The 21,509-nt window shown below is 43.9% G+C and overlaps 2 long non-coding RNA genes and 1 pseudogene across 3 annotated transcripts in view, besides 5 other annotated features; 2 read left to right on the top strand and 1 right to left on the bottom strand.

Moving 5' to 3' along the window:
• LOC124901029 (uncharacterized) overlaps positions 1 to 21,509 on the top strand; it is a 23,470-nt gene extending 1,961 nt beyond the window's left edge. The window contains exons 1-4 of one of the 2 annotated variants that reach the window (XR_007058875.1): positions 16,056 to 16,553; positions 16,920 to 17,029; positions 17,327 to 17,562; positions 20,447 to 21,509. This is a non-coding gene — a long non-coding RNA (uncharacterized LOC124901029). Of the gene's footprint in view, positions 1 to 16,055; positions 16,554 to 16,919; positions 17,035 to 17,326; positions 17,563 to 20,446 lie in introns of those variants that run through there. The other variant, XR_007058876.1, reaches the window with a different exon arrangement.
• On the bottom strand, positions 888 to 15,918 carry LOC102724720 (uncharacterized). Its single transcript, NR_157807.1, has 3 exons — positions 15,479 to 15,918; positions 12,302 to 12,425; positions 888 to 1,904 (listed from the first exon to the last, which is right to left on the bottom strand). It is a non-coding gene; the product is annotated as an uncharacterized LOC102724720 (long non-coding RNA).
• Positions 3,632 to 3,681: an enhancer, noted in NCBI's record as "active region_22812". NCBI's record gives its function as "activates an Ori minimal core promoter by ATAC-STARR-seq in GM12878 lymphoblastoid cells {active_cell/tissue: GM12878}" and the evidence as "EXISTENCE:reporter gene assay evidence [ECO:0000049][PMID:35858748]".
• Positions 7,525 to 7,634: an enhancer, noted in NCBI's record as "active region_22811". NCBI's record gives its function as "activates an Ori minimal core promoter by ATAC-STARR-seq in GM12878 lymphoblastoid cells {active_cell/tissue: GM12878}" and the evidence as "EXISTENCE:reporter gene assay evidence [ECO:0000049][PMID:35858748]".
• Positions 7,645 to 7,764: an enhancer, noted in NCBI's record as "active region_22810". NCBI's record gives its function as "activates an Ori minimal core promoter by ATAC-STARR-seq in GM12878 lymphoblastoid cells {active_cell/tissue: GM12878}" and the evidence as "EXISTENCE:reporter gene assay evidence [ECO:0000049][PMID:35858748]".
• Positions 15,779 to 15,828: an enhancer, noted in NCBI's record as "active region_22809". NCBI's record gives its function as "activates an Ori minimal core promoter by ATAC-STARR-seq in GM12878 lymphoblastoid cells {active_cell/tissue: GM12878}" and the evidence as "EXISTENCE:reporter gene assay evidence [ECO:0000049][PMID:35858748]".
• Positions 15,949 to 16,058: an enhancer, noted in NCBI's record as "active region_22808". NCBI's record gives its function as "activates an Ori minimal core promoter by ATAC-STARR-seq in GM12878 lymphoblastoid cells {active_cell/tissue: GM12878}" and the evidence as "EXISTENCE:reporter gene assay evidence [ECO:0000049][PMID:35858748]".
• GGCTP1 (GGCT pseudogene 1) lies at positions 16,177 to 16,790 on the top strand (annotated as a pseudogene).

Below are 21,509 nucleotides of genomic sequence, written 5' to 3'. Positions count from 1 at the left end.
CAGCAAAAGCCTGGCTTGCCTGCTGCCACTGTAATGAAGACTGGCCAGAGAAGCACAGACAGGACCGAAGAGCTTCACGTTGTACAGAACAGCAGGTCTGGGAAACAATATGGCCTTGCTCGGTGATCACTTACAGAGAAGTGTCCTCAATGTCTCCTTCCTCAGAGAAACAAAGCCATTTCCTTGGCAACAAAACCCCATACTTGTGTACTTTGCTAAAAATTTACAGTGCAAGGCCAAGGCTGATTGCATGTGTGCACTCATGCTGAGCTTTCGAAACAGGCTTTGCTGATGCCCATCTGCCAACAAACCACCTTTTAACCCTGTGTCCTTAAAAAGCTCAGAGTTATAATTTTCAAAAGTTCTTAAGTTCGGCTGGGCATGGTATCTCACGCCTGTAATCTCAGCATTTTGGGAGGCCAAGGTGGGTGGATCACCTGAGGTCAGGAGTTCAGGACCAGTCTGGCCAACATGGTGAAACCCCGTTTATACAAAAATACAAAAATCAGCTGGACGTGCTGGCGGGTGCCTGTAATCCTAGCTACTCAGAAGGTGGAGGCAGGAGAATTGCTTGAACCCGGGAGGTGGAGGTTATAGTGAGCCAAGATTGCGCCATTTCTCCAGTCTGGACGACAGAGCGAGACTCTGTCTCAAAAAAAAAAAAAAAAAGTTCATAAGCTGGAGAATGAATAGTCTTTCTTCAAACTAAAAAAAATAGTTTTTATTTTATTCAAAATTAAAAACTATTTATTAACTTCAAAGACTTTGACTCTGAAGTTAGACCTGAATATGCCAGCCTTTTTCCCACTGGAGAAGCTCAAAATCTTCCCAACCATTCCCCTAGATGCCAGATGAAGTATTCCTGAACACATATCATTACTTAAAACTTGGGTTAGAAACATTCTGTTATTGAGATTTATATATTGTCATTTATGTATGCTCTTATAGAGATATAATTAAAATATTACAGAGACACATTGTTCTAATACACACAAGATACTGGTGAGTTACTAGATCATAAGGGCTATCACATATTATGCTTACCATGTGCTAAGCACTGTTTTAAGTGAGTTTTACACATACTAATTTACTTGGGCCTATCAACAAATATAACAAAGACCAGAGCTAATAAACAAAAAAAAGGATGGGCAGATGGATGGATGGATGAATGGATGGATGGGTAGGTAAGTAGCGGGTAATAATAGACTAGATCGATAGATAAAAATTAAAAGTTGAGGTCAGGAGCACTGGCTCATGCCTGTAATCCCAGCACTTTGGGAGGCCGAGGCCGGTGGATCACTTGAGGTGAGGAGTTCAAGACCAGCCTGGCCAACATGGTGAAACCCCATCTCCACTAGAAATGCAGAAATTAGCTGGGCATGGTGGCACATGCCTGTAGTCCCAGCTACCCAGGAGGCTGAGGCAAGAGAATCGCTTGAACCCGGGAGGCAGAGGTTGCAGTGAGCCAAAATGAAGCTACTGCACTCTAGCCTGAATGACAGAGCGAGACTCCAACTCAAAATAAAATAAAAGCTGAGTCTATTGACTTGCTAGCCACAGGAATACAGGATAGGGAGAAATTTACTGAATTAAGTAGTAGCTCACTGAGAGGGAAAATTCAGAGTTGTTAAAGGGCTTGCCAGGGTAGGTTCATGTGGTTATTGCTAATTAAGTGTTGAAATCCAGTACTTTGCAAAGAACGGAATGAATCTAAGGTTGTAAATAGAGTTGGTTAAAAGAAGCCCCATTGCTCGCTGTTGGGAAAAAGTCTTCAGTTAGGACCAGTAAGAGCCTAGCGTCCCACAGTCATTCCAAGTTCACAGTTCTTTATTCAGCTTCTGCTGGTTTGGAGCCAACCTTGAGACACACAATAGTCAGTTATGATCCATCCTTGAGAAATGCTCCTGTAAGGAGAAAATGTTCTTTTACATTCCTCACAACAACTTTTTAAGGGGGTGCAATTATTATCATCCTCATTTTCCAGAGCTGGAGACTAAGGCACTGAAATACTATGTGATTTGCCCAAGGTCAAGCTAGAATTCAATCCTGGGAAGTCAGAGCTCACACTCTTAACCCCTCTTCTCAGCCAGCAAGCACAGATTCAAAACCAATTGTTGATATGTATGTTGCCTATTTAAAATAATTCATTATTAAAATTATACTTATAAAGTTGTTTTTAATTTCAACTAAATTAAATGAACAAAGAGTACTGTGTATGATTAGTATTATGGCTACACACCAGTTTTAACTTGAGATCCGACTTTAACCTTTGCAAACTGCTGTGAAATGTTGGATATTTTATGAAAAAAATAGGAATATTTGCCTCTTTTTTTTTTACATCTGTTGTCGTAGGAACCAAGTCTGTCTCTACAATCATACACATTATACCAAAGCCATCCTGAAGGAGTGAGTCTTTTAACAGTCCCCCTGTTAAAGACTTTCTCATTCTCATTACCCCCACTCACCCTAGTCTTACCTTCTACATCACTTTAAAACTTTTCTAATTAGAAATTAGAGGAATATTTTCTAATCGAAAATGAACTGCACTTCTTTGCCCATCTGTCTCTCTCCTTGTATCTGCAAACCATTTAAAGGTCATCACCTTGAGCTCTTTCAAGGGTAAATCATCTCCCAGAGTTTGAGAGGCACAGAGATGTACTGCAAAATCCATGACCATCATCTTCTTACCTTTTGGAAAGATTTAGTTTTGAGAAATAGAGGATATCGGATCAATTTGATAATTAAGAAAGTCGACTGAGCTGTGTAATGCAGTTTTTTGTTCCAAACAAGTAGGACCCAAAGTAATGTAATATGATTTTCATGTCACCAGTATAAACTAATACAAAGGCAATTTTAAAAGAGAAGTCCCCAAATTGTCTTGATCAGTGGTGGTTATATTGGCATAAAAGTACTGCCTCTGAAGATGACTCCTTTAGTGGTGATAATTTTTTGGATATGTTTTATTAGGTTTGTGGAAAAGCTCAGTATGACCACAGCATAAGCTATACCTCATATGTACCTCAAATTCGAACATATAGACAACTGCATGGCTTCCCTTGTTGACCATTCTAAGGGTTTGAAGGTAATACAGGTGGCAGAATAAGATTTTATTAGAAGAAAGAGTTCCATGGCTAAGAAAATGTTCAGCACAGGGCTAGTGTATCCTTGAGACTTTTCACAACACAAAGATTCTAAGATTCAATATTCCAAAAGATCTGTGGCAAACTGAATAATTTTCAGAAGTGAGTTTCCACTGAATTAGCCACATTCTTTCTCCTAATTCCTCTTGTAAATGATAGCAATCATTTACAGGCTAATATTAAGCATCTTATCACTGAGAACTCTATAATAAGTCTTCATTATGATGACACTGATATATTTGGAATAATTAGTAAAAGACTAAAAATTATGTCCAGTATAGTTTTTGCTTTAAAGCATATTTTAAATGGGATTGTTTTTGGAGAAAGGGAATCTCTGAAAGCGATTTAACTTAATATTTACCCATTTACACTTCACTGGGAAGATCATTGGTTCATCACATGCACTGTTCTTCACTGCCACTAGGTGGTGCTCCAGCCATAATGTCTCTTCCTGAGCCTCCAGAATCTGTTCACTACATACTGCCCTAGGGTAGGTCCCACTGAACATGGCTGGTCTTGCAAAAATCACATCCAGTGTGAGGTATGTTTCTAAGCTCCCTAAAGTTTACACATAACCCCAGACTGAGGATGACAGTAAAAAAGCCCGCTATTCAGGAAAGCAGAACTCGACCCACAGTGGAAAGAAAACAACTAAGGCAGGTGGGGTAGTAGAGACAAGCCCAGGCTTTTCCCCCTGATGGTGTCTTTAGTAGTAACCTAACCATCTACTGCAGTGGCTGGCCCAGTGACGCTGAAAGGTGAGGCTATGCAAACATCTTCCATGGCCTTCCAACTACCACAGCTTGGCCAACACGAGCACCAGGAAAAAAAGATCTGGGAGACGGACCAATTATGGGGACCTTAGGTCTGTGCCGCCCATCTGTGCCTGGTACCCATGCTTCATATCTATCCAGATTTTATTTGCTTTGGGCTAGCAGCTCACCATATGCCAGCACAGGCGACTTGCCCCAGGAGGGCAGACCTTTCCCTGGACTGTGAACAAAATTTATCTCCCCATTTCCTGAGTTCTTTCAGTTACATTCTGTACCTTACTAGTCAGTTTTGAGTCAGTTTCCAAAAGAAATGCATAGAGGTACAAGCTTCAAAGAAAGACAATCTCCATACGTGGTTCAGTGTACAAACACGGGCAGTGTGTGTGCATAGTCACAAACGCTAAGTGGCACAGAAAAAGAAGCAATCTGCATGAGTCAGGGTATTAAAAAGGCTTCACAGAAGATGTGGCACTTAAAAACAGGACTGCAATGTTGGGAGATGGAAAAGATCTTGGAGAACATCTGGTCTGAGGCTCTGAAATAGTTCATCTGAGTCTTTTTTTTGAGATGGAGTCTCTCTCTGTTGCCCAGGCTGGAGTGAAGTGGTGCAATCTCGGCTCACTGCAACCTCTACCTCCCGAGTTCAAGAGATTCTCCTGCCTCAGCCTCCTGAGTAGCTGGGACTACAGGTGCCCGCCACCACACCTGGCTAATTTTTGTATTTTTAGTAGAGACTAGGTTTTGCCAAGTTGGCCAGGCTGGTCTCGAACTCCTGACCTCAGGTCAGCCGCCCTCCATGGCCTCCCAAAGTGCCGGGATTACAGGCATGAACCACCAGGCCTGGCTGTTCATCTGAGTCTTAAAGGCTCATGAAGGTACCTCAAGAGCCATCCTTGAGGCCAACCAAGGAGGCTTCCAGGTCCCACCCACATTTTAATAGCAACAGTTTTATCTGTTTATTTATGGGGGTTCAGTGTAAGTTCTGTTTGAACAAAGAATTCTACTCCTTTTTTTAAAGTTGGAACCATTGATCTAGTCCAAGCTGCTCATTTTACAGATAAGATCACTGAAGCACATTGAGAACTTTCCCAATCTCACACATGGCTTGAATTGAAAAGGTAGGGAACATTTTGGATATGTAGAAGAAGGGTGATATGGTTTGGCTTTCTGTCCCCATCCAAATCTCATCTTGAATTATAATCCCTAAGTGTTGAGGGAGGAACCAGTGGGAGGTGATTGGATCATGGGCGTGGTTTCCCCCATGCTGTTCTTGTGATAGTGAGAGAGTTCTTATGAGATCTGATGGTTTAAAAATGTAGCACGTCCCCTTCCCTTGCTGTCTCTCTCTCTCCTCCCACCATGTAAGACACGCCTTGCTTCCCCCTTTGCCTTTCACCATGATTGTAAGTTTCCTGCAGCCTCTCCAGCCATGCTCAACTGTGAATCAATTAAACCTCTTTTTTTTTAATAAATTACCCAGTCTCAGGTATTCTTTATAGCAGTGTGAAAATGGACTAATACAAAGGGAGACCAGGGTGTCTGCAGGGAACAAGAAAGAACCACATCTCCATCTGACCCACAGGTTAGAAAAGCATGTTTGTCAAACTATATGAACCTAAAGGCAGTTTATATTTGCTGACCAAGTTCTATTCAGAGATATATATCCTCTTGCCAGAGACACAGACATGCAAACCATATTTACTACTTACTAAACCCCAAACCCATACTCATCAAACTTGAAAGGTAATAGAATACTAATTTCCATTGTCCAGATGACTCTTCTCCATCTTTTAACAAAGTTATTTCCTACTGTTTCTCAGAATGGCTCCCATGCAGTTAAGAAAAAGACAGTACTCCATGCTGGAGATGATAATCCAGGCTCGGCAGTGGATACACTGGCAGATGTTTAGCAAATTTTATATAAATCGATCTTATTGTAAAATGTTGATGCTTCCTCACCAGCTCCTGTTTCCTCCTTATTTTACAAAATGTGGAATTAATTTCAGACTAGAGCTTAAATCAAGCACCTGAGTTGGGAAGACCAAAAGTCAACACAGAGGCTAACCCTTGAAAAGAGCTGTGAAATCTATAATTCAGGTCACAAGGAGGACTCTGTTGCTTTTCCACTCTGCTGGTGAAGAGATAACAGAAGGTACCCTCTCAGTTTGCCATTGTATTTAGGTGAAAGATGCCCACCTCAAACCCACTCAAGCACAAAGAGAATTTACGAGCCCACGCAACGGGAAAATGCAGGGCTAGCTCACGCTCAGCTGGAGAAGGAGGAGCTCAAATGGTGTCAGGAGGAATCCATCTCTCCCTCTCGTTTCTGCTTTATCCTGTTGTCTTCATCCTCACTCAGGCTTTCTTGGAGAGAAGGCAAAACCCCAACAATTGCAGATATACAAACTCCAAGTCTCTGGCCCAGGGGCTCCAGGTATTGAGTTGCATCTCATTGGCTCAAATTGCCTCCCATACCGCTTCTTGGATATATTGCCTTGATCGCATGCCTAACCCTGGCACTAGGATTTGAGAATTTACCAGAGGTTACCTCCTGGTAGAACTGAGTCTTAAAAGAAGAACCTAAGCCAAGGGCTAAAAGTAGTGGAGGGGTGGCTCCCCAAGAAGAAAAGATAGATTCTGTTTCAGGAAGAAGGGATATTGAGCAGGTCAAACCACAGCGGTGTACTCCCTTCACCTGCTCAGCCCTGTGCCTCTCTGTGCTAATGGATAAGGCACACCTGATACCTTTGGAAGGCTCTAGAGTAGCTAAATCATAGATACTATTAGCCAAGCTAGCCTGCCCATTCAGTTGTGTTCATTGAACAAACATTTATTTATAGTAAGCTGCAAACTTAAACTGAGCCCATGCAGGGAGGTTTATTGGGTAAATCAACTTCCCAGAACTACTGCGTCAGGAATTGCCACAGGCTTCTTGTTGGCCAAGCCCCTGGGGCCACACTTCGAGTCTTGGCTGACTGTCAGCTACTATTTTTTTTTTTTTTTTTTTTTTTTTTTTTTGCCTTTCTGCAAGCCCCAGGTTCCAGGTTTTTTTTTTTTCTTTTTGCCTCTGGTTCCTAGGTGTTTTCTCTTCTCCTAACTTTGGCTAGGCACAGGACACATCTTTCCAGCTACTTCTGACACTCTCGAAAACAAGAAACAAGATTTTTTTCTTCATCAGGACTGGAGATTTACTGGGGACAGGGAAATCTTCGAGGATTCAGAAGACCTCCTGCTTCCTTAGGGTCATTATTCCTGATCATCACCCTTTTCCAGTTCTCAACCTTCATGGCATTTCTGCCTCCTCTTCTGTGGCTGAAGTGGGACTCACAAGCTCTCTCACTCCTGTGCACTGGCAGTGCCAGCTACCACTTACTAAGCACCTACTCTAGGCCAGGCCCTGTGGAAAACACATTATCAGTATATCATCTCAAATGCTCCTCCCCTCTCCTCTGCGGTGAGTCCTGTGACCCTCACCAAAGAGGAAACTGGAGGCCGGAGAGATTAAGTCACTTGCTTGCATTCTGTGGCCAGTGAGTGGCAGCCGAGGAACTGGGACTGGGTCTGCCTGGGACTGAAACCACGCTCTTCACCACCACACTGTAGTGCCTTCTGTGGGCCTCTACTTCAGGAAGCCCTTTTCCAACACGTGAGCCTGAAATCACAGAATGGTGAGAACAAACGAGGGTGCCTGGAACACTGCTCAGGAGCCCCCAAAGACTCAGGAAAGCCATTGGCACGCCTCATGACCACAAGGCTGAGTGATTTCAATCTCTATGTCTGACAACGCACCACCCCGCAACGGCATGCACGGAAGATTTATAATGGGTTTTCTTCATGTATCACCCCTGCTGGTATCAAACCAGAACCACCTCTATTTTATGTAGTGTTTCTCAACCATATTTTACTCATGTGCCCTTCTGATATGTGCAAAATTCTTACTATCACCATCCCAAATGCTGGGGTGGTCCCCAGGGATTTCTTTCCTCCCACTGTGATTTTTGCATTACTCCATCTCACCTACCAGTTCCTGTAGTTTGAATTACAAAATTCCCCTCCTTTATTTTCCACATATAAAATGTTTATGTAATATTAAATATCAGAATACATCTAGACATATTTAAAATATTAACGCCCCAGATCGCGTTGGCCCCAACCAATCAGAACTGCTGCTGGTCCTTGCCGCATGCTGCTGAACTGCAGCCTAGCATTAGCCCTGTGTATACTTCCAGGAGTCCTACAATACTTCCTGGGGGCACCTCTCCCACCACCACAACTGGGAATCCTGAGCTTGGATCTAGTGTTTCTGCTAATGTTGCTATAGAATTCAACTAGGTGAGGAAGAAACAAAAATGGAGATTGCATCATTCTCTTTCTCCTTTCTTTTATGGAAACCTTCCTCCCAACCAATTGCTTCATCATGTTGGGGTTGGCCTTGCTCTCAGTACAAGGGATGGAATAATCCAAGAGGAGTAACAACAGCCAGGTGTGTCACTGTGTGTCAGAATAATGCCCCATGTGCATTAAGTTGCTATCAAGGGGCATCACCCTTTCCTCATCTCAAACTCCGACTATGAGGATATCCAGCTGGTGTCTATATGGCAGCCACCCACTTGTTCCTCCTGAGGGAATTGCCTTTGGGTTTTCAGATCATGAGGAAATGAGGCAACTAGTTTCATAATTCCTGAATGTTGACCCAGTCCTGGAAGAAGTCAACGCCCAACTGGAACATTACTGCTCTTGCCTGTGTCAGAAGAGGAACAGGATGACATGGCAGGAATCTTAAAGTGCCTCCAACACCGCCTGTGAATCAGTACTCACAGGTCAGAGCCTTCAGGGTGATGTTGAAAGGCAGGAATACTGCTCAGCCCAGCAAAATAGCAGGGCCTAAAAAAGACGGGGCCAGAGTTGGGGGGAAGGAAAAAACAAATTAAGTGCATGTCGGACACCATCTGCTGATTCCCAAAACTAATAGGAAGGTCTTTGCAAGGATTGCCATTCTCTACTGGAAGATTCAGAGGAGAAAAAAAAAACTGTGCAACAAATGCTATATTTTTGTTCACAAACATAAGGTATATTCAATTCAATCCAATTTTATGGAGAGCCTCTGGGTCAGACTGCAGGGCATGTAAAGGTGCATTCTCTTCATCTCTCCACTAATGCACATAAGGGGAGCTTAGTCCAGAAATTTCTGGGATTCAGAGGAGGGAAAAAAACTGAAATATCAACCCTTGAGATATTTTTAGTATCACCTCAAATCTCCAATGCCTTGGCTGGGGAAACCCCAAAGTTCCCCAATATTAGCAATTCCCCAGGATTTCAACTCTCTGGGTCCTCTGACCTCAAGCTCCTGAGTACCCCCCAGGTACCTCTGAGCTCTCCAAAAGAAAACACTCACACAGAAAGGAAAGTCATGTTGGAAACTCCAATAACAGGAGACTGGTTGAATGTATGAGGGTACATTCACAAAATGGAATTGTGAGTAGCATTCTAAAAATGAGTTAGGGGTACATCTGCTCAAGGTCAATTGTGAAGTGACCAGGGCTGGGGTGGAACAGCAGCAGAAATGATACTGTTTAAGAAAAAATACATGAAGGGCATCCCCAGAAGGAGAAACGAGAAACTGGTAACAGTGGTTGCTTTTGGGGAGAGGAACTGAAGCTAGGGGTCAGGAATGAGAGGAAGTACACATTTCTATAGGAGTTTTTGTAACAATAAATCACAGCTACTTTAAAAATTTTCCAAGGAGGAATTGGGGTAAGAGAAGCCATCACATGTAAACTTTGGGGAACCAGGTTCAACTTCACTGAAGATGCCCTAGAGGAGGAACAGAAGAGCTTTAGATCCATATCCCACAGAAAATGCTAGTTATTGCTGGTTCCAAAGTTCCTTTTAGAACACCTGCTACCAGGATCTCCTCCCCTGGCTTTCCTGCATCACCCCTTTGGCTCTGTTGGGTTTTTTCATGCCATACACCAGACTTTAATTCTACCCTCTTCTTCAAAGCCACTGGATGGAAACGCCCTCCCTCAATGATCTGCTTAAACCAACAAATCTATATAGGTCGTGTGAATCACTCCACTACCCTAGAGCATAAGAATTGCCACATTTTGGCCGGGCGCGGTAGCTCATGCCTGTAATCCCAGCACTTTGGGAGGCTGAGGTGGGCGGATCATGAGGTCAAGGGATGGAGACCACCCTGGGCAACGTGGTGAAACCCCGTCTCTACCCAAAATACAAAAATTAGCTGGGCGTGGTGGCGGGTGCCTGTAGTCCCAGCTACTCAGGAGGCTGAGGCAAGACAATCACTTGAACTCAGGAGGCGGAGATTGCAGTGAGCCCAGATCACACCAGCCTGGCGACAGAGTGAGACTCTGTCTCAAAAAAAAAAAAAAAAAAAAAAAACACAATTGCCACATTTCTTAATTTCTCTAAAGAAAATTAAATCTGGCCCAGACCCCAATCACCTTGTGCTTATCCCTCCCTTGGGAAGATCAAAGAAGTCTAGAGTCCTAGAGTTTCCACCATTCAGGAACATTGGGCAGGGGCCTTTAGTGCAGCATGGTAGCCAGTGAGCTGCTTATTGTCCAGGTCCCCAGGACGATGCCCCCATCTGCAGGCTCCTCTGGTGGCCCCCACCATCTCCAGGTCAGACGAGGTCTTTGGCCCTTTCACTTGGCTCCCAGTTCCTGAGACTCCGGGTCTCATCCCTAGGTGTCCATGGCCTCAGTTCACTCAGTTCACCTGAGATGTACATCTCAACTTGGGTGCTGGATGGTGAGTGGCATGCAAGTCCCCACCACTCAAGACTGGCCACTCTCTCTCTACCATCAGAGCCAGGCCACTCCCTTCTTCTCAAAGCCTAGTTGCTGTCTCCTACCTTTCTCCAGCTTACATTTCAAAACAATATCTCCATTCTAAAAAGCAAAAGAGCTTAGTGTTTGTCCATTCCACACCCAGGACAAGGGAATCAAGAACTCAGAACACAAAGGCCTGTCTGTTCATGCTGTAAGGGGGAAGAGGAAGTTACCTGCACAGCAAAGCAACTCCACTCAGGATTAACCCACCACTCTGCTACACCCTCCTCTCAGTAAATCTTTGTGCTTCACGTGGCAGAAAATACTTTCCATAAATAAATGGGGATACACCCAAAGGGAGGTGAGGGCCGTTGTTAGCCAGGGTCCTTGAGACTCAGTTTCCTGGATTGAACGTCACGGGGAGTAAATTTCATAGTGAAACAGCACCTCACAGAGTAGGTAAACTTCCCAAGACTTGGCAGAGAAGCCTGTGTGCCAAGTGAATTTTCTGCCTTCCGGCAAAGACGGAAAAGACACCTTTGAGTGGGTTTTCCACTGAGGAAGAAAGGTCTCTAGAAGGAGCATAAGTCCAAGAGGACCCCTGGGGTTCCAATTTAGTTGTTCCGGGTTGGGGCCCAGACAGGTATTTTTAAAGCTTCCCAGGAGACTCTCCTGTGCAGACAGGTTGAAAGCTGGTTATGTAAAGGCCTAAGGCGTTGTGTTTCCTCTGTTCCAGGGGTTGGTTTCCCAACCCCAGTCTCCATTTCCCCATCGCCCAGCCTCACATCAACACCTGCTGTGTGTTCTCCAAGCTTCTATGCTCCCCACAGTCTCCAGGCCAACACGTTTGGATGCCAAAATCCCCTGATCATGTTTAGGGCCCCTTCTCCTCCTGGGTCCCCCTTGTAGTATCCCAGATGCTGAAGTGGAGGCCTCGGAACCCTCACTTAGGCATTAGAGGGAGCATGGCTGGCACTAGCCTAAACAGCTGAGACCCTTTCGCCTTGGTAGCCAGACAGGATGCAGAGGGCAGCCACAGAGTACCACAGCAGGCTTTGGGGACGCTGGAGAGTGGTGGCCCAGGGTTACCACAGCTGTGCCTTATGTCCCCATCTCCTCAGCTGGCAGGGCCTGGACTCCCTCTTCCATGCTGTCCTCCCCTCATTGTGGAGATGGACCTATTCTCACTTCTCTTCTGTTCCTTCACCAGCTTCACTTGCTGTGAGGTCAAAGATTTCATTCCTGCTACTGAGACACGTGACTGATTACTCTTGGAGCAGTGAAGTCCTGGGAAGGACATGGGGATCAGTCAGGCTGGTTTAGATTAGCCTATGTGACTCCAGGTTGCCCTGTTGGTTCTATTGTAATGGACAGGCCTGGTCCCATGGTTGGCTCCAAACCTCCCCAGTCAGCATCCTCTGTGTCAGTGTTTCCAACCCTCATTGTAAAAAGCTACCTTTCCCAGATTTTTGATAGGGGATTCAGAAGACTGACTTGTTGCCACCGCCCCGCCCCACACCACCCCTTCCTCAGCTTGCCCTGTGCCTGAGTGTTTTCAGGAATCCAGTTAGAGCCAGGCAAGCAGGGCTCTTACCTTGAGCGGAAGGACCTCGGAGGCTGCGTCGTGAAGACTTTCCATCAGGGGCTGTTGTTTTGCCCTTTGAGACCAGCCGCTCTGGCAGCATCTTAGTGGGAGCCAAGAGTCAGATGTTCCTTCCCTGTGGGATGATGGTGTCATTGTCAGAAAGCGCCCTCCATTTCTGATCATCTGCTGCTTCTGTCACAAGCAGACTGGCTCTCCCCAGTGCCAACGCCTATTCCTGCATGTCAGCTATGGCACAGGGCCTGGGGACTGTCTCACGCTCCAGCACTTAGGCATCACCAGCCACACAAAGACAGCCTGTTTTCTTCCTTCCTCCCCACTGCCATGTCACTGCTGAAGGGCAAAGACCTTTTGAGATGGACTTTCAAGCTCAGTCTCTTCACAGTTCTCTGGTATTCCTCAAATCTGCAGAAGTAAGATACTTGGGTCTGCCATGACTACCAAATTCTCTGTCCCCTCTTTCCCAGTGTAGTCATGATTAGTAGACCTGGATGTGTCATTTCATGTTTGTGTTAACTCCTGTCTGGTTCTCCAGTTTCCTATGAAGGCCTCAAAGAGTTGATTACACACTTTTCATTTTTGGTGCTTACTGTTTCTCTTTATTTTCTTACATAAGTCATATAGGAATATATCCTGATTGTATAAGTTTCAAATAATATAGAAGTTTACAGAGCAAAGCTGAAAACCTGCACCATCCCGCTCCAGTTCACTCCTCCTCAAGGTCGCACTGCCCACGGCTGGCTGTGCCTCCTCCTACTACCCTGTCTAGGCACCCACGCTGCACAGCACATGCGTCTATGCATGTGTCATTTTTTTATTTTTCATTTTTTAGATGTAGATATTACTTTGCAAAGTAACAAATTTAGTATGTTTTTCACTTGGAAATGTTTCATGTTAGGATATACAGCTCTATCTCATTCATATATAACCATATACACACACATTATATAATGTTTTCATACCCTAGATTTTTATATTCATAAAAAAGAGATTATCCTATACACATGGTTCTGCACTTTGTTTTTTGTTTTTTTGTGAGTGGTTTTGTGTTTTTTTGTTTTTTTTGTTGTTTTTTGGGGTTTTTTTTTGAGATGGAGTCTCACTGTATCGCCCAGGCTGGAGTGCAGTGCTGTGATCTCAGTTCACTGTAACCTACACCTCCTGGATTCAAGCGATTCTCTTGCCTCAGCCTCCCAAGTAGCTGGGATTACAGGCACATGCCACCATACCCAGCTAAGTTTTGTGTTTTTAGTAGAGATGGGGTTTCACCATGTTGGCCAGGCTGATCTTGAACTCATGACCTCAAATGATCCACCCACCTCGGTCCCCCAAAGTGCTGGGATTACAGGCGTGAGCCACTGTGCCCAGCCTACTTTGATTTTAGACACAGAATACTCAGCACATACATGCCTTCCTTGGTTTTACCAACAATTGTGTCCTCTTTCATAATTTGGATGTGCCAAAAATATATTAGCCAGAAGCCCACTAGAGAACATTTTGTCACAAGTACACTTGTCATCTATCTGTGTGAGAGTCCTGTAATTGAACCTCATATTCTGTGGAGGAGTAATGAAATATGAGAGCCAAAAGTTATTACACAGGGAAAAAGTGCTGGATGGAAAGGAATGGCAGAGAGGATTCTTGGGTGAGGAAGGGCTAAGTGGCTGTTGTTTCCTCTTGATTCATTTCCAAAACTTTCTGGTGATGTGGGTCAATAGTTATTATTAGCTCAGAGTTTTACCTTTCAGTTTCAGCTTTAGTTTTACCTGAAGCCCTTTTGACAAGTCATTCCAAGTGACAGTTCCATCTACACATGAGCCCAGAGATTGTTTCTGGGTGGGACAAACTGTCCTTTCGAATTAGAGATGCTCTATCCCTAAGTGATTCATTTTCTTTGAGCATCTCAGCTCATGTTTAATTTCTTTGCAACTAGGTGTGTGAATACAGCTCTTACTTCTGTATAAGGCAGGTGTATACCCATACACCTGATATTAATAAACTATTGATTTCATGTTTTGTTGCATTGCTAAATTGACAGCCTAGGCAATTTGTTTTCCTCCAGAAGTACTGCCTCCCTAATTAAATAGACCTCATTTAATTGTGGGGTCATGTTAACCAAAATTATATTTCCCAAAACCTTGAAAGTATTTTTTAAAAAACTTTTATTTTTTGTTTCAGCATTCGACATTGCTACACAAATTGAGTCATGCAGCCCAGCAGCCACCGAGTGCCTACTGAATTTCCTGTCACCCAGAGCCTGAATTTCCTGTCACTGGGCATAACGTTTTAAAAATATTATTGTTTTTTTAAACCCTGGCACTGAACCAGTTTTTATTCTTCATCTTGACTTAATGCCTCTCCATTCTCTTCTCTCATCTTCTTCTCCTGGCTCCACTCACCTCCTCTGTAGCCAGGAGCCCACAGTTGGCTATTTCGGCCGTGTGTCCAGAGTCTGGAATCCCTCGTCCCCTTGGGCTTGCACTGTGGCCAGTTAGCTTGCCCATCCTCAGCCTCGGCACCCTCCTTGTTTGTCCCCTCCCTTCCCGGTGCACCCTCCAAAGGTGCACCCCTCTTCTCTGAGGTCAGCCCCACTGCCTGGCCCTCTGTCCCCTCCTCCAGTGCTGTTGGTGACTTTGCTCCATCAAGCATCGTCTTTCTCTCTCTCTGTCTCTCTCTCTCATATTCTCCCCCCTCAACTAGTTGCTTCCTCTCTGCAAAAGGAAAAAAATAAAACAAACATAGTCGAGTTTCCCTTAAATGAAAGATGCTTTTTCTCAATCCTGCTATTCCCTCAAGCTGTTATTGTATCTCATACCCTTCTGCCACAGTTCTTTAAAGTCTAGTCCAAACGGGTTTCTCCAACTCCCTACATCCCAGTACCTACTTTAAATAAATAAAAAGATTAAACATACAAGTGAAAGTGCATATGGTAAATATTCAATGAAGAAAGATGGAAAATAAAAAGCCCCTTCCCCATCTGACTGATGGGGAAATTATTAATTAATTAATTGAGTCATCAGTCCCGTTTTAGAAAAAATAATATATATTGATTTTATATATTGTATTGTGTATATGTATAACATATATATATTGTACACATACCCACACCTGCAAATATATATGTAATCTTCTAAATTTTACACATATGGAATCATACGGTGGTCTGACCTTTTTAAAAAAATTTGATAACATATCCTAGCACAAGAATCCAAAAATAGGGGTTGCCCCTGGTGAGAGGATCTGAACTGTTGAGGGATGAGGTAAAAGTGCAACTTCCTGGAGGCGGCGGCGAGGCAGTCACTGGGCCGGGGTCCTGGGCCGCCGCGCTGCGCTCTCTGGCGGCTCCTCACAGCTCTGCTCCAGGCTCCCGTGCAGGCAGCAGTGGGACATGGCGAACTTGGGCTGCAGGGACGTCCCGGGCCCGGATGAGGACATTTTTCTGTACTTCGCCTACGGTAGCAACCGGCTGACGAGAGTATCCACCTCCGAAACCCCTCGGCGGCGGGCTTCTGTGTGGCCCGCATGCAGATCCAGACCGTCCTGGCCAACATGGTGAAACCCCGTCTCTACTAAAAATACAAAACAGCTGGGCGTCGTGGCGGGCGCCTGTAGTCCCAGCCACCCAGGAGGCTGAGGCAGGAGAATTGCTTGAACCCGGAAGGCGGAGCTTGCAGTGAGCCGAGATTGCGCCACTGCACTCCAGCCTGGCGACAGAGCGAGACTCCGTCTCAAAAAAGAAAAAAAAAAAAAAGGAACATATGTTGTAATAGAAGTTAAAGTTTCAACTCAAGAAGGAAGAGAAATAACCTGTCAAAGATATCTGATGACAAATTACGAAAGTGCTCCTCCGTCTTCACAGTATAAAAAGATTATTTGCATGGGTGCAAAAATAAAAATGGTTTGCCGCTGGAGTATCAAGAGAAGTTAAAAGCAATAGAACCAAATGACTATACAGGAAAGGTCTCAGAAGAAATTGAAGACATCATCAAAAAGGGAGAAACACAAACTCTTTAGAACATAACAGAATATATCTAAGGATATTCTATGTGCTAATATAAAATATTTTTTAACACTTGAGAACAGGGATCTGGAGGATCTCCATGTTTGATCCATTTTCAACAGTGCTCTGAAGGAATATCGCACTTGGGTGACTCCTTGTTTTCAGACTATAAAAATAGACCGGGTTAGGAGTTAGACAGTTTAAAAGGGGGATATGGGGCCCTGAAGTGTGTGACAAATGAATGTGAGTACCCCTTATGCAAACACTGAAAGCTCTTCTCTTGACTTGATCTTAAGTGTCTCCTTGCTTTGGTAAAGGATAGATTTGTAGCTCGCTTGATGATGGTGCTGGTGAATTGCTCTGCTCTGAGATTTTAAAAAATCAGATTAATGAGAGTAATCTGCAGATAATTGATGATAACATTTTGAAAACTGGAAAGATGGTATACTGTTTTTAGAGGAATAAACATATTTGTGGTTTTTAAAAAAAAGAGCAACTTCCTTTGCACTGTATACCCTTTTGTATTATTAGGATTTTATACTATGTTTATATGTTGCCTATTTAATAAATCGCTTAAAGTTATATATCTTGAATATCTTTCCATATTAGCATGTACAGACAGAACTCATGATTTTATGGATACGGGCAGACTATCTCTGGAAGGATACAGAAGAAATGAGGAAAAGCCTCTTGAGGAATGACTTGCAGACTGACCCCAGGTCAGGTATACTTCCGGCATACCTTTTGTGCTGGTTTTTGTTTGCTTGTTATCACATACAAATATTACACAAAATAGGCTTCAAAAGAACTAGTTATATAGATGTACCATGATTTGTAGAATTAGTTCCTTATTCATGGATATTTAGGCCATTCTCAAGTTTTAAAGTTACTATTATTATTATCATTATTACAAACAGTGTCACAGGGAGAATCCTGTACATATATCTGTAATACCGTGGTGATGTTTCTTCTCTCCCTGTCCCACACCCCTTTCCTCTGTTATTATCTGTACACAGATCTCGTGATGGCGCTTTCCGACTACTCATCCTTGAATGAAGTGATTTTTCCTTTGCACGCAGTCTGGTGGGGAAGGCCAGGGTCAGGTTCCACTTTCTGGAATGTTCTCATGACCCAGGAAGTGGTTAAGAGACTCCTTTAGGCAGAGGACAGGCAGGTGGAGGGCTGTGTGCATCCCAGTGTCTCTTCTGTCTCCTGCCACCCGGATAGGCCAATTCTAGCATGCAACTTGTCTGTGAGTATCCTCATTTATCCTCACTTCCTCTGCCCCTCAGGACCAAACTGTGTGCAAAGTAGCGTCCATCACCCCGGCACCCATTCCTTCTGGGGCAAATAATAGATATGAGTTTTGCACCTCAGTGTGAACCTGTTACCTTAAAGAGATAAATTTGGTTGATTTTTTCTGAGATATAAGGGTCCTGTCTCCATTCTTCCATCCTCCCTGTTCCCTCTCACTGCTTTGGCATGCCTTCTGCCTATTTTGTGTAATATTTGCATGTGATAACAAGCAAACAAAAACTAGCACAAAAAATATGCAGGAAGTATACCTGGCCTGGGGTCAGTCTGCAAGTCATTCTTCAAGAGGCATTTCCTCATTTCTTCTCTATCCTTCCAGAGATAGTCTGCCCATATCACATATATGGAGCTGTGGGAAACTAACCTAAAATGTGGGGCAGTGGGGGGTGGGGTTTAACTGATCACAACTTACAACTGTGCTCTGTCCAATCTCCCATCCCTATGAGGGAGGCAGAAATGGAGGGGTCCCATAGCTTTCTTCTCACTTTTAGCTGTTAAAAATTCTGGTCTAATCGAGTGTAAAATTACAATCATATCTATTCAAACCACCCACCCCCATCATGACCTGGGGGCACCTGCAGTGGGCAGAGGGCATATCTGTCTTTTACTCCTGTCCCTTCACTTTTCCTCTTGGAGTAGAGAGGGATGGGTCATGATCAGGTTCAATGACAGCTCCTGCCCCTCCTTTATCAAAGTTGGGGACTGGGAGAGGCAATGGAGAGGGAGGGTAACTGTTTCCTTACTGAACTTCCTATGTTATGGTTCTTTCTCTGTGAATGCTCATGGCCTCACTGGCCAACACTAACCATCTTAATAGCTGGCACCCTAAAACAGGCTCTTTGAGGCTGCCAGGTAAGTTCTTCAAAGAGGCTCTCTCACATACATGGCTTCCCCAATGTGGCAGATCAAGCTGCAGGTTGACCTCCTCCAGCCCCTTCAGCCTCTGCCTCTGTGTACACCCCACAGCCTCTTATGCTGGGCTCTCCTTGCCCAGTGATAGGAAACAAGACAACTCAAGGCTGTCACCTTCCATGTGCACTTGCCCATGGGAGACTCACATGTCCCTTTCAAGCCAGACTCTGCAATTTCTCCCAAGGCTCTTTGCCCCTGCTCAGCAGGCACAGGGCAGATCAATGCATCAACTATACCTAAGCAGCTGACCAACTGGTAAATGAGGCACCAGCCTCCTCTTCTTGCAAGTAAACTCCAATCTTTAATGATGTTTCTCTTGGGACCCATTTCATGTGGCTTGCAGGGGGGCGTGGTGGGAAAGGAAAAACTCCAACACTCCTTACTAGGCCAACTAGGGTGGGAAGGTGGGGAGTATGTGCTGATAGCTGTAAGGTCAGTTGTTTCATCTTTAAGAAAGCCCTAGAAAGGAATTCTGGCCTGTTGTTGGTGGCTTTCTATACAAGGTGCATTATTTATCCTTCATAATCCTCAGCTTTCCCCTTCCAACTCTACTCTAACAAACAAGAAAGTCCCACTCAATATACCATTTTTTTAAACATAAATGGTAGCTAGCATACTGATGCCACTGTGCTGCATCTTAATATCTTAGAGATTATTTCATATCAACTGACTTAATTCTGCCTCTTTAAAAAAAATTTTTAAGTATTTCATTATATTGATATATTTCTAAATTAGTGCCCCTTTAAGGAGTATTTAAGTTGAACACTTGTCAATGTTTTATTTTTTTATTTACAACAAAAAGATATCCAGTACATAGATTGTTTGGGGGTTGGATGTGTATAGACAAAAAGAATTATCCAGATAAAAGTTAGACTAGGAATAAGATAACAGGAATGTCTCATTTTAGTTGTGGGGCGAGTTTATGACAGGCCTAGTTAAGCTTTGCTGAGCCTCTATCAGCTGTGTGGAGTAAGCCTAGCTTAGGATGGAGCTGGTGCTCAGATAGACCAGCAGCTGGTAGAAACATCACGAATAGATTTCAAGCAGAAATGTGCTCAGGTGTGTTTTCAGAAAAGCCTTGCCATGTGAATTTAAATTCACTTCTGTTTGGGACCACTCTTTTTCTTTCTCACAAGCAAGGCTGTGATTCTATCTCATATGATGTCATGTACACAGGTGCTGCCTCTCCCTGATCCTGGATCTGAGATCCTGAACGACACTATGACATGTTCCCTCTTACTTGAAAGTTGTGTGTGCCTTGGGTGCAGGCACTCAGTTTCCCTGAGGAGTGGGCTCCTGCTCCATGAGGGACACTCAGCATTCTTTTCATAGATGTGAATTCCTGCCTGTTCCATGGAGGGGTTCAAGGGAAGGCTGGACAAGTGCCCAGTGGGAAAAATGCCATGGCATGGAGGCAAGCTCACGAGGGGGTTAGAATAGATGGTCTTCGGGACCCCTTTCAGGCTTGTGTTATCCTTCCTTTAAGACCTTGGAATTTGCTCTGTAGAGCAGCAGAGAGAGCATCTGCTTTGGACCCAACACCTGAGCTTGAATCCCACATCTGGCGCTTCCTTGCTGGGAAGCCCGGGACAAAGTCTCCTAACCTTCCTGGGTCTGTTTTCTTACCTGCAAATGGCAGGTACTGATACCTACTCTAATGGGATATTTATTTGTTAAATAAATATCATTTCGATAACCTCACTGAAAAACATTTAGGCCTGGAGTAGATAAAACCTTCTTCCCAACAGCACAAGCCCCACCTTTTATTTCAGTGTTTTCAGTTTTGTCTGTCTAAGCAAGATAAAGTTCCTATTGGTGGCTCACTGGTTCTAAGGAGTTTGTGCTAGGAGTTGGCAATGAACACTGTTGGTTGCCTACCCCACAACCATTTTTCTCTTCTTCCTTCCTAGGGAATTCCTGTTTGCTAAGGAATCTACTTCTCCCCATCAGAGCTCTCCCTTTAAACTAAAGAGTTTCTGCACAGCAAAAGAAACTACCATCAGAGTGAACAGGCAACCTACAAAATGGGAGAAAATTTTTGCAACCTACTCATCTGACAAAGGGCTAATATCCAGAATCTGCAATGAACTCAAACAAATTTACAAGAAAAAAACAACCCCATCAAAAAGTGGGCAAAGGACATGAACAGACACTTCTCAAAAGAAGACATTTATGCAGCCAACAGACACATGAAAAAATGCTCACCATCACTGGCCATCAGAGAAATGGAAATCAAAACCACAATGAGATACCATCTCACACCAGTTAGAATGGCAATCATTCAAAAGTCAGGAAACAACAGGTGCTGGAGAGGATGTGGAGAAATAGGAACACTTTTACACTGTTGGTGGGACTGTAAACTAGTTCAACCCTTGTGGAAATCAGTGTGGCGATTCCCCAGGGATCTAGAACTAGAAATACCATTTGACCCAGCCATCCCATTACTGGGTATATACCCAAAGGACTATAAATCATGCTGCTATAAAGACACATGCACACGTATGTTTATTGCAGCACTATTCACAATAGCAAAGACTTGGAACCAACCCAAATGTCCAACAAGGATAGACTGGATTAAGAAAATGTGGCACGTATACACCATGGAATACTATGCAGCCATAAAAAATGATGAGTTCATGTCCTTTGTAGGGACATGGATGAAATTGGAAATCATCATTCTCAGTAAACTATCGCAAGAACAAAAAACCAAACACCACATATTCTCACTCATAGGTGGGAATTGAACAGTGAGAACACATGGACACAGGAAGGGGAACATCACACTCTGGGGACTGTTGTGGGGTGGGGGGAGGGGGGAGGGATAGCTTTAGGAGATATACCTAATGCTAAATAACGAGTTAATGGGTGCAGCACACCAGCATGGCACATGTATACATATGTAACTAACCTGCACATTGTGCACACGTACCCTAAAACTTAAAGTATAATAAAAAAAAAAAAGAAGTCAAACCA

This window comes from Homo sapiens, chromosome 5, assembly GCF_000001405.40.
Source record: "Homo sapiens chromosome 5, GRCh38.p14 Primary Assembly".
Classification (NCBI taxonomy): Eukaryota; Metazoa; Chordata; class Mammalia; order Primates; family Hominidae; genus Homo; species Homo sapiens.
Note: the sequence above shows the minus strand (reverse complement) of the source record. Positions and strands in the feature narration are given on the sequence as shown.